Raw genomic sequence first — 15961 nt, 5'->3', positions numbered from 1 at the left:
GAAAGAGGCAAGAGAGGGCCGGGTGCGGTGGCTCACGCCTGTAATCCCAGCACCTTGGGAGGCCAAGGTGGGCAGATCATGAGGCCAGGCAATCGAGACCATCCTGGCTAACACGGTGAAACCCTGTCTCTACTAAAAATAAAAAAAAAGAAAGAGGCAAGAGAGAACTGCCTTGCCTCTTCTCCCATAAAGATGCAACAAAACAGGCTTGAAAAACAAGCCCTCAACAGACCAAATGTGCTGGTGGCTTGGTCTTGGAATTCCCAGCCTCCAGAATTGTGAGCAATAAATTTCTGTTGTTAATATATTATCCAGTCTAAGCAAATGTACTAAGACAGACACCAAAATACTGCTGTGCGTACTGAACTCAGTTTGAACTTAGGAAACAATGAATTATTTCTACAGACTCTTTCCTACAAAAGGAAGATAATGTTGTTACACAGAACAGTGTAGTCACTATTGTTTATTTATATTATGTCAAATATTAAACAATATTTAGAAAGCTTATTTCTAAAAAGAAAACTATATATCATTTCAGTACCAGTCTGTTCTGTCTGAAAAAGAAAAATTAAGATATCTTACATAAGAAACAGACTGTGGAAAATGACACAGCTGCCCCAATGTGCTCATTTATACAGAATGAACTCCAAATTCAAGACCCTAGAGCGAGTTCTCCATTTCTTGCCTAAAAGCAATTTAAAGGTGGCCGGGCATGGTGGCTTACCCTGTAATCCCAGCACTTTGGGAGGCCAAGGCAGGTGGATTACTTGGGGTCAGAAGTTCGAGGCCACTCTGGCCGACATGGTGAAACACTGTCTCTGCTAAAAATACAAAAATTAGCCAGGTGTGGTCGTGCACACCTGTAGTCCCAGCTACCCAAGAAGCTGAGACAGGAGAATCGCTTGAACCCAGGAGGTGGAGGTTCAGTTAGCTGAAATCGCACCACTGCACTCCAGCCTGGGTGACAGAGATTCCATCTCAAATAACAAATAAATAAATAAAATAAAAGTAATTTAAAGGTGATGTTAGCTCAGTTTCTGGAGCAAAGGTACTTCCAACATCCACAGGGCCAAAAAAAAGAACTGATGCATGACTAAGATGGCAAGACTCTAAAGCAATTTCAATGCTTGGGATGCTGCTACGAAAAAATGAGACCACTGCAAAACCATATTGCAAATAAAAGATTACAGAATTTTTTTTTGTTTGTTTTTTTGTTTTTTGAAATGGACAGAGCTGGCAGGCAGAAAATAAGTAAAGACATAGCTGGACTCAGCAACACCATTCTTCAAGTGTATATAATGAGCATTATAGACTACTACACTCGTAACTGCAGATTACACATTGTTCTTGAGTTCACATGGAACTTTCATGAAGATATACCACATTCTGGGCCATAAGGCACATACTGACAAATTTTTAAAAATAGAAATCATACAATGTCTGCTTTCAGATCACAACGGAATTTAACTGGAAGTTCCTAACAGAAAGATACCTGCAAAATCCCCAAAACATTTGGAGATTTAAAAACACACTTTTAGAATAGTAGGCCAGGCGCGGTGGCTCACGCCTGTAATCCCGGCACTTTGGGAGGCCGAGGTGGGTGGATCACGAGGTCAGGAATTCAAGAACAGCCTGGCCAACATGGTGAAACCCCATCTCTACTAAAAATACAAAAATTAGCTGGGCATGGTGGCGCATGCCTGTAATCCCAGCTACTCGGAAGGCTGAAGCAGGAGAACTGCTTGAACTGGGAGCCGGAAAGCAGAGGTAGCAGTGAGCGAGATTGCGCCACTGCACTCCAGCCTGGGCTACAGAGCGAGACTGTCTCAAAAACAAACAAACAAACAAACAAACAAACAAACAAACAAACAAAAAAGCACACTTATAGAATAGTGAAGAGTAGCCTCAAAGGAAAAAAACTAGCGGGCCCTCATATATCAACCTGAGAAACAGAATGCATTATTCTAGTATCCTTATGGATTAGCCCAAAGCTAAGTACGTTTCATCAACAAAGCTAGAAATGCTTCCCCCAGGCATGTGCACTTGTCTAGTACAAGAACCTCACCTTGAATTTATTCCAAAAGAGCCTCCCAAATGTTCAGCAGCAATTCCTAAAAGGAGGCCAGTCCAAATGTAATGGGATAAATCCCGCTCCCCCTACCAAAAGCTGAATCTCTCACCCATAGGAACAGGTGACCCTTGCTGTGAAGTTAGAGGATAGGCACACAAATAAATTTATATTACATTATCTACTAAATTTTTAAATGCACATGTTAAAGACATGTGTATTATAACCCTAGCAATGAACAGCAAAAGTCTAAAGCCCAAATCCTTTACTTTATCCTTTATCCTGTAGAATATACACAGGATATTATAAAACTACACTAATGTTAAATAATTAATCCAGAAACTGTTAACTGAAGTGCAAAATCATTAATATTTCTCTATGGCTACAAAAGCCTAAGTATCAAAGTGTGCTGAGATAGGCTATTTTAAAGTACTGATTTAAAAAAAAAAATCTTCAGAGAAATTTATGATGGATGTCTCCTTACCTCATAAATGTTGGGGTGCCACATTTTGGTCAAGAATCTGAAGGTAGGTGGTGAATAGGGGTAGTCAATAGGAAATTTAATATGCGCCTGAAAAGAAAAAAAATGAAATGCTAATAAATGAGACTATAACTTATTCATCTGCCTAATAATTCACCCTACTACACGCCACAGAAACAAAGCTCCTTTCATAGAGTAAACTCTTGAGATTAAAGTAGCTCAGACATACTTTGTTATCCCCAGTGCCAGGGTCATTAGTAAGTTCTTACAGCACCCCTTCAAATATTTATAAAAGCCTTTTTTTTTTTTTTTTTTTTAAGACGGAGTCTCACTCTGTCAGCAGGCTGGAGTGCAGTGACGTGACCTCAGCTCACTGCAACCTCCACCTCCCAGGTCCAAGCGATTCTCCTGCCTCAGCCTCCCGAGTAGCTGGGACTACAGGTGCACGCCACCACGTCCGGCTAATTTTTGTATTTTTAGTAGAGACGGGGTTTCACCATGTTGGCCAGGATGGTCTCAATCTCTTGACCTTGTGATCCACCTGCCTCGGCCTCCCAAAGTGCTGGGATTACAGGCGTGAGCCACCGTGCCCTGCCCCTATAAAAGGCTATTTTAAGTCACCAAAACTCACACTCACTCACATACACAAACATACATAAATATAATTTTAACTTGCCTCACAAGTGAAAAACAGTACTCTGTACATTTTATTTTTATAACAAAATAATCTAATTTTAGAGTACACAATATGGAACAACGGTATTTTTCTTTTTACTCACATAATTTAACTGTCATTCTATCACCCAGAAATAATAAATGCTGACATTGCTGATTTCCCTTACAAAACGTATTTTTAAAAACTTCAACATACTGTATTTTGTATTCTGCTTTTTTCACCTGTATCACATTGTAAACATTTTTTTTACACCATAAAATATTCTCTTTACATGGATGACTGACAGTATCTGCATTATACTCCATCAAATGTATACCTACATGAACCATTTTATAAAACTATTTCCTTATTTTGGGCATTTGGGTTGTTTCTCACACCTTTGCTGTTACAAATCCTGCTGCAGTGAACGTCCTTTGCAGTATCCCCGTATTTTATATATGAAGAAATCCAGAAAACCTGAAAAGTTCTCTCTTCCACAAAAGCAATGGGAAAATTGCCAAAAATTATAAGCATCATTTTCAGAATTCCAGAAAATAACCAGAGGCTTGCAACAATTCAAGGAGTAGATATTTAAAGAAAATGGCTGACATTCAGTAAGAACATCAAGCTACGTGATTTTAACTTACCCTAATCCAATCTCCTATACTCTAGCTGTGCAGCAGCCTTAAAACACATTCAAAGTAAAAACCAAGGAAGCTGACAGGCCCTGGAGAGGATAGAATGGGCTGGCATTTCGCCAAAGCCTTACTCCCAGAGAATTGTCATTAAGTTTACTTTTCTAATGGTTCCCTAGAAAACTCCACTTGCAAGGCTGTCTACATATGATTGGATTTGGAGCTTGGCCAATATGAAAACATTTTCCCTGGCAGCTTTGTTGAAAACAATGGCAGGCAACTATTTAATCTTAAAGGTACCTGAGGCAGTGGAAAATACAAAACAGACTAACCAAAAACGTTAAGGAAAAGCTGGGCTGGGCTAAGAGTTGTCCATTATGGTTCTGAAAAGCTCTGACAAATTATTGTGAGTCTATAATACCATGACAATGTGTAGAGCTATGCACATGCCCAGCACTATGTGCATGCTCAGGAAAGCCCTAAGAAGGCCCTAACTTTATACCTCTGGCTTAACTTGAGAATGTATACAACAAGAAAGTAAAGAGTTTGCAAATGCCTGTCTGAATTAAGTTGAAGACATGCAATGACACATACGCAGAGCCTCTCTACAAATTCCAGCTAACTAACTGGTTCTAGAAAACCAAGGAAATCTCTGTTCAATCATTACCTGACCACTAAGCTGAGTGGAGAATTCACTGGCCACACATAACAATAATATCGACATTATATAATTAGGTAAAAGAAGTCAACAGTAATTACAACAGCAGCAGCAATGGCAACAACAAAAACCCTGGGGAAGAGGAGAATTGGATTCCTGCAGGTGCCACTGTATATTATTTAAATTTCTAGTTTTCAGCAAAATATTACAAGCTATGAACAAAGTATGGTCCATACAACAGGAGAAAAAAAAAAGAATCAATAGAAACTGGAAACCTAAGTATTCAAGTTACTAGGCAAAGACTAAATCAGCTTATCTTTAAACCTTTAAACATTTCAAAGGACTAAAGAAAATCATGGCTAAAGAACTTAAAGGAAAGCATGAGAATGGTGTTTCACCCATAAATACTGAATATCAATAATGAGATAAATTATTTTTAAAAATCCACAAAAAGTGGTGGCTCATGCCTGTAATCCCAACACTTTGGAAGGCTCAGGCAGGTGGATCCCTTGAGCCCAGAATTTCAGACAAGCCTAGGCAAGGTAGCGAGACCCTACTCTACAAAAAATTTAAAAATCAGTCGGGTATGGTGGTGTCTGTGGTCCCAGCTACATAGGAGGCTGAGGTGGGAGGATCACTTGAGCCCAGGAGGTGGGGCTGCAGTGGGCTATGATCATACCACTGCACTCAGGGCTGGGCAGCAGAGGAAGAGCCTGTCTCAAAAAAAAAAAAAGAAAGAAAAAGAAAAAATAAAGGGGTTGGGGGTAGGAGGGGGAAGAGAGGGGGAAGAGAGAGAGAGAGAGAGAGAGAGAGAGAGAGAGAGATTCTTAAGTTGTTAAGTACAAAAACTGTTGATTCTTTGAGACAGGGTCTTGCTCTGTCAGTCACCCAGGCTAGACAGAGTACACTGGGTTACAGCTCACTGCAACCCTGACATTCTGGGCTCAAGTAATTCACCCACCTCAGCCACCTGAGTAGATGGGACTACAAGCATGCATCTCCAAGCCCAGCTAATTTTTTTGTGGGGCTGGAGGTTTCATCATATTGCCCAGGCTGGGTCTCGAACTCCTGGGCTCAAGCAATCCCCACGCCTCGGCCTCCCAAAGTGCTGGGATTTACAGATGTGAGCCACCACAGCTGGCCTGTTCATTCCTTTTGATGACTAAATTTAAGAAGTACAAAAACTGAAATTAAAAAAAAAAATTAAGTGCTGAGCAACAGATTTGAGCAGGTAGAAAAAATAGTGAATTTGAAGATAGGTCAATTTATTGACCTTATTCTTTTTTATTTCTTTTTTTTTTTTTTTTTTGAGACAGAGTCTTGCTCTGTCACCAGGCTGGAGGGCAGTGGTGCAATCTCGGCTCACTGCAACCTCCACCTCCAGGCTCAAGTGATCCTCCTGCCTCAGCCTCCTGAGTAGCTGGGACTACAGGGGCATGCCACCACACCCAGCTAAATTTTTGTATTTTTTAGTAGAGATGGGGTTTCACCATGTTGGCCAGGATGGCGTTGATCTCTTGACCTCGTGATCTGCCTGCCTCGGCCTCCCAAAGTGCTGGGATTACAGACATGAGCCACCGCACTCGGCCTTATTGATCTTATTCTTTTAAGGGGGAGTAGTGGAAATCCCAATTTATAGCTGATTCATCAGGAGTATAGGTCTGCCATAGGCATCCAAAATGGAGGCAGTCTTTCTTGTGGGACTGAGTCCTTAACCTATAGAATCTGATGTTATCTCCAGGTAGACAGTGTCAACAATGAATTGAATTGGAGGACTAAGATAAGAGAGAAACTATAAAATTCTTAAAAGAAAACATAGGTGTAAATCTTCATAACCTTGCATTCACTAAGTTTTGTACACGTGACACCAAAAACACAAGGAACAAAAGTAAAAAGAAATGGGACACAATTAAAATTATTATTATTATTTTTTTGAGGTGGAGCCTTGCTCTGTTGCCCAGGCTGAAGTGCAGTGGCATGATCTCAGCTCACTGCAACTTCCACTTCCTGGGTTCAAGCGATTCTCCTGCCTCAGCCTCTCGAGTAGCTGGGATCACAGGCATGTGCCACCACTCCTGGCTAATTTTTGTATTTTTAGTAGAGATGGGGTTTTGCCATGTTGGCCAGGATGGTCTCAAACGCTTGACCTCAGGTGATCCGTCCACCTCAGACTCCCAAAGTGCTAGGATTACAGGTATCAGCCACTATCCTCGGCACAAGGTTTCTTTTTCAGATGACAAAATGTATTCTAAAATTGATTTTGGTGATGGTTACACAACTTTGTGAATATGCTAGAAACCACTAAACTATATACTTTAATGAATGGGTGAACTGTATGACATATGCATTAAAATCACAATAAAGCTGATTAGGGGGAAAAAAGGCTGGAGCCCAAACACCCAGGTCCCTCAAAGATCTTGATTTCTAAAATATCATTATTTGGCCGGTATGGTGGCTCACGCCTGTAATCTCAGCACTTTTGGAGCCCTAGGCGGGTGGATCACGAGGTCAGGAGTTCAAGACCAGCCTGGCCAAGATGGTGAAACCCCATCTCTAGTAAAACTAAAAATTAGCCAGGTGCAGTGGCAGGTGCCTGTAATCCCAGCTACTCGGGAGGCTGAGGCAGGAGAATTGCTTGAACCCGGGCAGGAGAGGTTGCAGTGAGCCGAGATCGCACCACTGCACTCCAGCCTGGGCGACAGAATGAGACTCCATCTCAAAAGATAAATAAAATAATATAAAATATCATTATTCAATAAAAGGAACCAGGGCCCTTTGGTGAAACACCTGATTCTAGATCTGTGGCAGGAAAAATAAAAGACAAGCCTAGAGCATCTTATAATGCCAAAAAGTAAGTGCTAAAGAAAACAAATTGGAGTATTTCAAAACAGCATAGGAGCCAAACTGCAAGAGCTCCTAATGGCCAAAACTAGAATAATCGAAGCTACAAAATACATAATGTAATACTGTTACCCAAAATATGAAATAAATATAAATGAGTACATACTGATAAGTATTACTGAATGGAAAAATACTGGTGGAGAAGGGTCAAATCTTCCTTACAGTAGTACTACAAATAATCATAATCCACATTCAGGTGGTGAAGTTGAATTCCCCTTTCCTAGAGTGTGGGCTGGATTTAATGACTCACTTTCTAACAATAAAGTATGGAAAGAAATAGTAGCTCTACCGTAGAGAAATCTGGCAGACATGTTAACCAAGTGATCAAGGTTAACATCACTAGCAGTAAATCATATTGGTATCATGACCTCCCTGATATGATGTAGTAAGTAAGGCACTTCATCTTTGTGGTATTCTTCCCCCAAAATCTATAACCCCATTCTAGTCATGAGAAAAACATCAGATAACCCAAATGGAGGAATATTCTACCAAACCTGACCCATCCTCTTCAAAAATTGTCAAGGTCACAAAAAATGAGGAAAGACGGAGAAATCATCAAAGACTGGAGGAGACTAAAAAGACGGGACAACTAAATACAGTGTGATATCCTGAACTGGACTCTGAAATAAGATGATGATATGGAGGCACAGGAGAATACAGAGTGACTGCTAATGAGTATGGGGATTCTTTTTGAGATGATGAAATATTCTGGAGTTAGATGGTGGTGATGGCTGTACAACCATCTGAATATACTAAAAACCACTGAACTATATACTTTAAAAGGGTGAATTTTATGGTATATGCATTATACCTTAATTAATACATTAGTGCAGAAACTGGTGAAATCTAAACTAAACTAACTGGAGATTAGTTAATAAAGCTGGAGTGGCTATCTGAATAACAGAGAAAGTATACTTTAGAACAAAAAATATTATCACAGATAAAGAGGGTAATTTCATAAGGGGATCAATTCACAAAGAAGACATAATATTAACTGTGTGTGCACTGGTAACAACAGAGCTTTAGAACACAAAATGATGTAACTAAAAACTTTTGCCACCAAATGGAAAAATAGAAAAATGCATAATTACAGTTGAAGATATCATCACTTCTCTCTCAACAGTCTAAAGCAGCAGTCCCCAACCCTTTTGGCACCAGGGACTGATTTCATTGAAGACAATTTTTCCATGGACAAGAGGGCGGAGGAGTGGGAAGGGTAGTGAGGTGGGTGTTTCGGGATGAAACTGTTCCACCTCAAGTCATCAGGCATTAGTCAGATTCTCATAAGGAACACTCAACCTAGATCCCTCACATGCCCAGTTCACAACAGGGTTCGCACTCCTTGAGAATCTAATGCCTGAGCTGATCTGACTGGAGGCTGAGCTCACCTCCTGCTGTGCGGCCTACTTCCTAACAGGCCACAGAGTTGTACCAGATCAGTATCGGGTAGGCACCCCTGGTTTAAAGTACAAGGAGACAAAAACTCAGTAAGGATATAGAAGACAATATGCCACTGAACAACAGCAGCATACAAATTATTTTTGTGGACACATAGAACACGCACCAAGACATACCATATTCTGGAACGTACAACATCTATCTACAAAGTTTAAAGAAATGACATAATACATAGCATATTCTTTGGCCACAATGAATTAAGCTAGAAATTCTGATTTTCTAAATTCAAAGATATTTAGTAAATCCCCAAACATTTGGAAATTACGTAACTGTACAAATCACAGTATAAAGAGGAAGCCACAAAGTTACTTAGAAAATTGTTTAATTGAACATGAAAAAAATGACAATGAAAATCTGTAACATACACCTAAAGCAATACTCAAATAGAAATTTTTAGAATTGCCTACACTGGAAAAAATGTAGGTCTCATTTCAATAATATAAGCTTCTACTTAAGAAATGAGAAAAATACAAAATTAGGCCAAGTGCAGTGGCTCACACCTATAATTCCAGCACTTAGGGAGGCCGAGGCGGGTGGATTCCTTGAGCGCAGGAGTTGGAGGGCAGCCTGAGCAACATGGTAAGACCTCATCTTTACAAAAAATACAAAAAGTTGCCAGCCATGATGGTGCACCCCTGAGGTCCCAGCTACTTGGGAGGCTGAGGTAGAAGGATCACTACTTAAGTTTGGGAGGTTGAGGCTGCAGTGAATCATAACCTTGCCACTGCACTCCAGCCTGGGTGACAGAGTGAGACCTTGTCTCAAAAAAACAAAACCAAACAAACAAACAAAATAAAGAGGAAAGGACAGACTATGAAATTAAACTAGAAGCAAGCAGAAGAAAGAGAACTGACATAAAAGCAGAAATCAATTAAACAAAACATCGTCTCAAAAAAAAAAAAAAAAAAAAAAAGTCTTGTGACCAGGCGCCGTGGCTTGTGCCTGTAATTCCAGCACTTTGGGAGGCCTAGGTGGGCAGGTTGCTTGAGTTCAAGACTAGTCTGGGCAAATGGTGAAACCCCATCTCTACAAAAAATACAAAAATTCGCCAAGCATGGTGGACGTGCCTGTAATCCCAGCTACTCAGGAGGCTGAGGTGGGAAAATCACCTGAGCCCAGGAGGTCGAGTCTGCAGTAAGCTGTGATCACGCCACTGCACTCCAGCCTGGGTGACAGAGCAAGACCCTGTCTCAGAAAAAAGTCTTGTTAAGATTACTTAGGGTACTAAGAGAAATCTTTGCAGTGCTGCATGAAAATTTATGTAGAATAGATGATATGCACCAATATAATAAAAGGTAGCACAGATAGCAGTAAAGAACACTGACTCAAGAAGCCAGGACTATCTGGGTTTGAATCCTGACTCTACAACTCAGCTGTTATCTTAAGCGACCCTTACTTAATTTATATTGATCGACTGATTGATTGACTGATTAAGACAGGGTTATGCTGTCACCCAGGCTAGAGTACAGTGGCACAAATATGGATCACTGCCAGCCTTGACCTCGCAGGCTCAAGCGATCCTGCCCCAGCCTCCTGAGCAGCTGAGACCACAGGCCATGACACCATGCCCAGCTAAATTTTTGATTTTTTGTAAAGATTTCACCACTTTGCCCAGGCTGGTCTCAAACTTCTGGGCTCAAGCAATCCTCCCGCTTTGGCCTCCTAAAATGCTGGGTACTCTGTGTAGTCCTAATTAGGGGAAAGGAGTCAGGCTAGTGGGACCGAGGGAAAAGCAATAAAAGAAAGCAGATAAGCCACAAGTCAGCCTTTCTTCATCGTCCAGGACACATAAGTCCTCCTGTGTAAATAACTCACAATCTTCCTGTGCCCAACTATCACCACACACCTGCAAGTTAGCTCACTGCAACCTTGGCATTTTCAGTACTCCACAAAGCCCTCTTCAGCATACAGCATAAACACTATCCTATAAAATCTCTACCAAGCCTTTGTTTCTCTGCAGTTGGCTTCTCTCTGGCAGGCTGCTGGCATCCCTCGCAATGTATTTTCCTATGTTCTCTAATAAATCTGCCTTTTTTTTGTAAATTTGAGACGGGGTCTCACTCTGTCAACCAGGCTGGAGTGCAGTGGTGCAATCTTGGCTCATAGCAACCTCCATCTCCGAGATTCAAGCGATCCTCCCATCTCAGTCTCCAGAGTAACTGGGACTACAGACGTGCACCACCAGGCCTGGCTAATTTTTCATTTAATTTTTGTAGGGACAGGGTTTCACCATGTTTCCAAGACTGGTCTCGAACTCCTGGGCTCAATGATCCTCCTGCCTCAGCCTCTCTAAATGCTGGGATTACAGGCGTGAGCCACTGCACCTGGCCTGCCTTCCTTTACTTACAACTGCCTCAGTAAATTACTTTACTCAGTAAGTTTGGACCTGGGCCACTGGTCCAAACAGCCATCGTTCTCCTGGACAGATTACAGATGTGAGCCGCTGCGTATTGCTCAATTACTTAATTTATATCTCAGTTTCCTCACCAGTAAAAAGGGGATAATAGTACTTATTTAATGCGTTTGTATGAGGATTAAATGAGGTAATGCTTGAACAATGTTTAGAACTGTGCCTGACAAATAAAAGATATAAAAATATAAATAGGTGGATGGGTGCAGTGGCTCACGCCTGTAATCTTAGCACTTTGGGAGGCTGAGGTGGGCGGATCACCTGAGGTCATGAGTTCAAGACCAGCCTGGCCAACATGGTGAAACCCCATCACTTACTAAAAATACAAAAATTAGCTGGGCGTGATGGCAGTTGCCTGTAATGCCAGCTATTCAGGAGGCTGAGGAAAGACGGAGGGAGAGTGGGAGAGAGAGAGAGAGAGAGAGAGAGACAGACAGACAGACAGACAGACAGAGAGGGGCAAAAATCATGAAGGCTGTTTTATATATTGCTAATTTTCACTGTTTTACCTCTTTTACCTACTTGCCCTTAGATTATAATACTACCAGCTTTAGATAAGACAACTGGAAAGATTAATACCAACCTTAAGACCTTGATGATTATGGAATTAGTTTTCTTAGAGCCTTACCAAACCTAATTATATTCCACTTAAATCTTAATAAATATTGGTTAGTAGTATTAATGGGGTTTCTGTATTTTCTCTAAGCATCTAATATTTTGAATTATTCTTGAACTTTCAGCTTTTTGACCATTATCTACTATATAATCTTTTAAAAATACTACCTTCATCACGCTTGTAATCCCAGCACTTTGGGAGGCTGAGGCGGGCGGATCACGAGGTCAGGAGATTGAGACCATCCTGGCTAACAAGGAGTAACCCCATCTCTACTAAAAACAGAAAAAATTAGCCGGGCATGGGTGCCGGGCACCAGTAGTCCCAGCTACTCGGGAGGCTGAGGCAGGAGAATGGCATGAACCTGGGAGGCGGAGCTTGCAGTGAGCCGAGATCGCGCCACTGCACTCTAGCCTGGGCAACAGAGTGAGACTCCGTCTCAAAAAAAAAAAAAAAAAAATTCAATCATAAGTAGTTTTAATGTGACCCTTTTGACTTTATTCTAGAAGTAGTTTTTTTTTTTAAGATGGAGTTTCGCTCTGTTGTCCAGCTCACTGCAACCTCCACTTCCCAAATTCAAGCTGTTCTCTTGCCTCAGCCTCTGGAGTAGCTGGGATTACAGGCATGTGCCAACATGCCTGGCTAATTTTTGTTATTTTTAGTACACTTGGGGTTTCACCATGTTGGTCAGGCTGGTCTCGAACTCTTATTTATTTTATTTGTTTTTTAGATGGAGTCTCGCTATTGCCCAGGCTGGAGTGCAGTGGCACGATCTCGGCTCACTGCAAGCTCCGCCTCCCGAGTTCATGCCATTCTCCTGCCTCAGCCTCCTGAGTAGCTGGGACTAGAGGCGCCCTCCACCATGCCCGGCTACATTTTTTGTATTTTTAGTAGAGACGGGGTTTCACCATGTTAGCCAGGATGGTCTCGATCTCCTGACCTCGTGATCCGCCCACCTCGGCCTCTCAAAGTGCTGGGATTACAGGCGTGAGCCACCGCCCCCGGCCTTATGATTGATTTTTTTAAAGCATCATGCCTAAAGTATGCTTACATTACCACTAGAAGAGGTAACATTGGTTGGTGTGCTTCTGGTAAGGCTATTTAAATTGTACTAAGAACTCCTTCAGCGGAGTTTACAATCCTCAACTATTCAGCTGAAGTTAACATTCAGGGGGAATATCCTGCTGTAATGCTTCCCTGAGCAATTATACAATTTTATCTCTATCTCTATTACTTTACTTATTTTTCAGAACCTTATTAACTGTTTATTTACTTATTTATTTTTGAGATGGAGTCTTGCTCTGTCGCCCAGGCTAGAGTGCATTGGCGCAATCTTGGCTCACTGCAACCTCCGCCTCCCGGGTTCAAGCAATTCTCCTGTTTCAGTCTCTCGAGTAGCTACAGGCGCATGCCACCACACCTGGCTAATTTTTGTATTTTTAGTAGAGACAGGGTTTCACCATGTTGGTCAGGCTGGTCTCGAACTCCTGACCTCAGGTGATCCACCTGCCTTGGCCTCCCAAAGTGCTGGGATTACAGGTGTGAGTCACCATGCCCAGCCCTTATTAAAAATTTAAACATACTATTTCACATGTATATGGTGACCTATAGTTACCTATGTATTACCTCATACACATATTTAATACTCCTACTTCAGCCAACTTGTCACTGAAATTTCTTCCCTTTTTGAAATTTTATGAAATAAGATATAACTTGCTATTAACATATGAATATAAGATCTCATACCATTTCAGTTATATTCACAGAACAATATAATGATTTTAAAAGAAGAAGGGAAGGTACTAGAATCAGTAGCCCTGTGTTGTAGCCCTGGCATGATTCTTGACTATTTAATTTACATTTTTCTATCTTTTATTTGTCAGGCACAATTCTAAGCATTGTCTTTGCTAGGCCTCTGACCTTAGGTCAACTCATTTAAATCTCTGGATTTCAAGTTCCTTTTTATGTAAAATGGCAAAAAACACTGACCCTAGGGAGTTATCATGAGGATCATATACAAATTTTAAGAGAAACTTCAAAAATGGATCCCAAGACACAATTATTTTTTAATTTTTAGAGACAGGGTCTCACTATGTTGCCCAAACTCAAGACCTCAAGTGATTTTCCCACCTCAGCCTACTGAGTAGCTGGGACTACAGGGGTGTGGCACCACGACTGGCTCCAAGATAATCTTAAATCATCAAATCAAAGGTTAAATCATTATCATTGTATTGAGGAGCATTAATAAATATTAAAGTATTTTCCACAAGAAGTAAAAGGGAAAATAAAGTTCAATATATTAGAAAATTTGCTCTTACCCATTATAGATCTTAGTAATTTCAGGGTATGATTTGAACAAACTAAATTTATGAGAACAAGGGAAATGTAAACATTGACTGGATATTAAGGAATTATGAGCTTTTATAGTTGTGATAATAGTATTACAGTTAGGTCTCAAAAATACATGTTATTTAGTTGGTGCTGTAGTAATTTTCATTTAAAGTTTTTTAAAAAGTAAAACAAAACTTGGCCAGGAGCAGTGGCTCACGCCTGTAATCCCAGCACTTTGGGAGGTCGAGGCAGGTGGATCACAAGGTCAGGAGTTCGAGACCAGCCTGGCCAATTAAAAAAAAAAAAAGGTAAAACAAAACATATTTTAAAAATACATTTTGAGGCCGGGTACAGTGGCTCATGCCTATAATCCCAGCACCTTGCGAGGCTGAGGCGGGAGGATCAACTTGAGCCCAGGAGTTCAAAACTAGCCTCAGCAACATAGCGAGACCCCCAACTCTACAAAAAAATTATTTAAAATTAGCTAGCCATGGTGGTGTGCACTTGTAGTCCTGGCTACTCAAGAGGCTGAGGTGGGAAGATTGCTTGAACCCAGGCTGCAGTGAGCTATGATCCTGACATTGCACCCCAGTATGGGAGACAAGTCGAGACCCTGTCTCAAAACAAACAAACAAACAAAAAACTATTCTGAAATTTTCACAAATGAAATGAAAAGTAGAAATTAATTACAAAATAAAATGGAGGAGGGGGCGGGTAGGATAAATAATAATAATATATATACATATATAAAAACAATGTGTGCATATATATTTCTTCATATGCATTATGTATATATTTAAAAAGACTGAAAAGACACATTCCTAACCATTAACAATGATCAGCTCAGGAACAGAGGGCAACGGAGGAAGAATGGGGCATTTAAAGAACTTTGTAACTTCTTTATGACTGATATAATAAACATGTTATTATTTTTATAAACTGAAAAAAGAAGATTTTTCACTTGTGAATCTTCTATACAATGGTCTATGCCTACTTTGCACTGAAAATTGACATCTGGAATGATACACTCAATTAAGTTTGAAAATATAAAAACTAAGTTAAGGCTGGGCACGGTGGTTCATGCCTGTAATCCCAGCACTTTGGGAGCCCGAGGCAGGCAGATCACTTGAAGTCAGGAGTTCAACACCAGCCTGGCCAACATGGTGAAACCCCATCTCTACTAAAAATACAAAAATTAGCCGGGCATGGCAGCGGGCACCTGTAATCCCAGCTACTTGGGCGGCTGAGACAGGAGAATTGCTTGAACTCGGGAAGCAGAGGTTACAGTGAGCGGAGATCGTGCCACTGCACTCCAGCCTGGGTGACAGAACGAAATTCCATCCAAAAAAAAAAAAAAAATTTAGGCCAGGCACAGTGGCTGGTTCATGCCTGAAACCCTAGCACTTTGGGAGGCCAAGGCAGGCGGATCGCTTGAGCCCAGAAGTTCAAGTTCAGCCTGGACAACATGGTGAAACCCCGTCTCCACACACACCGTAATTTTTTTAACTTAGCCAGGCATGATGGCTTGAGCCTATGACCACTCAGGATGCTCAGGTGGCAGTATCCGCTTGAGCCTGGGAGGTCAAGTATGCAGTGAGCCATGATGGTACCACTGCATTCCAGCCTGTGTGACAGAGCGAGACCTGGCCCCTCCCCAAAAAAGTTTTAATATAAATTACAGGATATTTTTCATTCGAAATTGTGTACATATGAAATCTATGAGTTATAACTGAACTTCCTTAAGAAGTTTG

General features: G+C 41.1%; 1 protein-coding gene across 5 annotated transcripts in view; it reads right to left on the bottom strand.

Moving 5' to 3' along the window:
* Nucleotides 1-15961, bottom strand: part of UBE2R2 (ubiquitin conjugating enzyme E2 R2) — a 105232-nt gene that overhangs the window by 30880 nt on the left and 58391 nt on the right. For 3 of the 5 annotated variants that reach the window (XM_047423541.1, NM_017811.4, XM_011517949.2), the window contains exon 2: nucleotides 2553-2639. The exons of the other annotated variants lie outside the window; for them this stretch is intronic. In XM_047423541.1, the coding sequence (XP_047279497.1) occupies nucleotides 2553-2576 (24 nt within the window). In that variant the 5' untranslated portion in view covers nucleotides 2577-2639. The remainder of the gene's footprint in view (nucleotides 1-2552; nucleotides 2640-15961) is intronic. 5 annotated transcript variants of the gene reach the window in all.

The sequence above is a fragment of the Homo sapiens genome, chromosome 9 (assembly GCF_000001405.40).
Source record: "Homo sapiens chromosome 9, GRCh38.p14 Primary Assembly".
NCBI lineage: Eukaryota > Metazoa > Chordata > Mammalia > Primates > Hominidae > Homo > Homo sapiens.
This window is presented reverse-complemented; position numbering and strand designations above follow the sequence as displayed.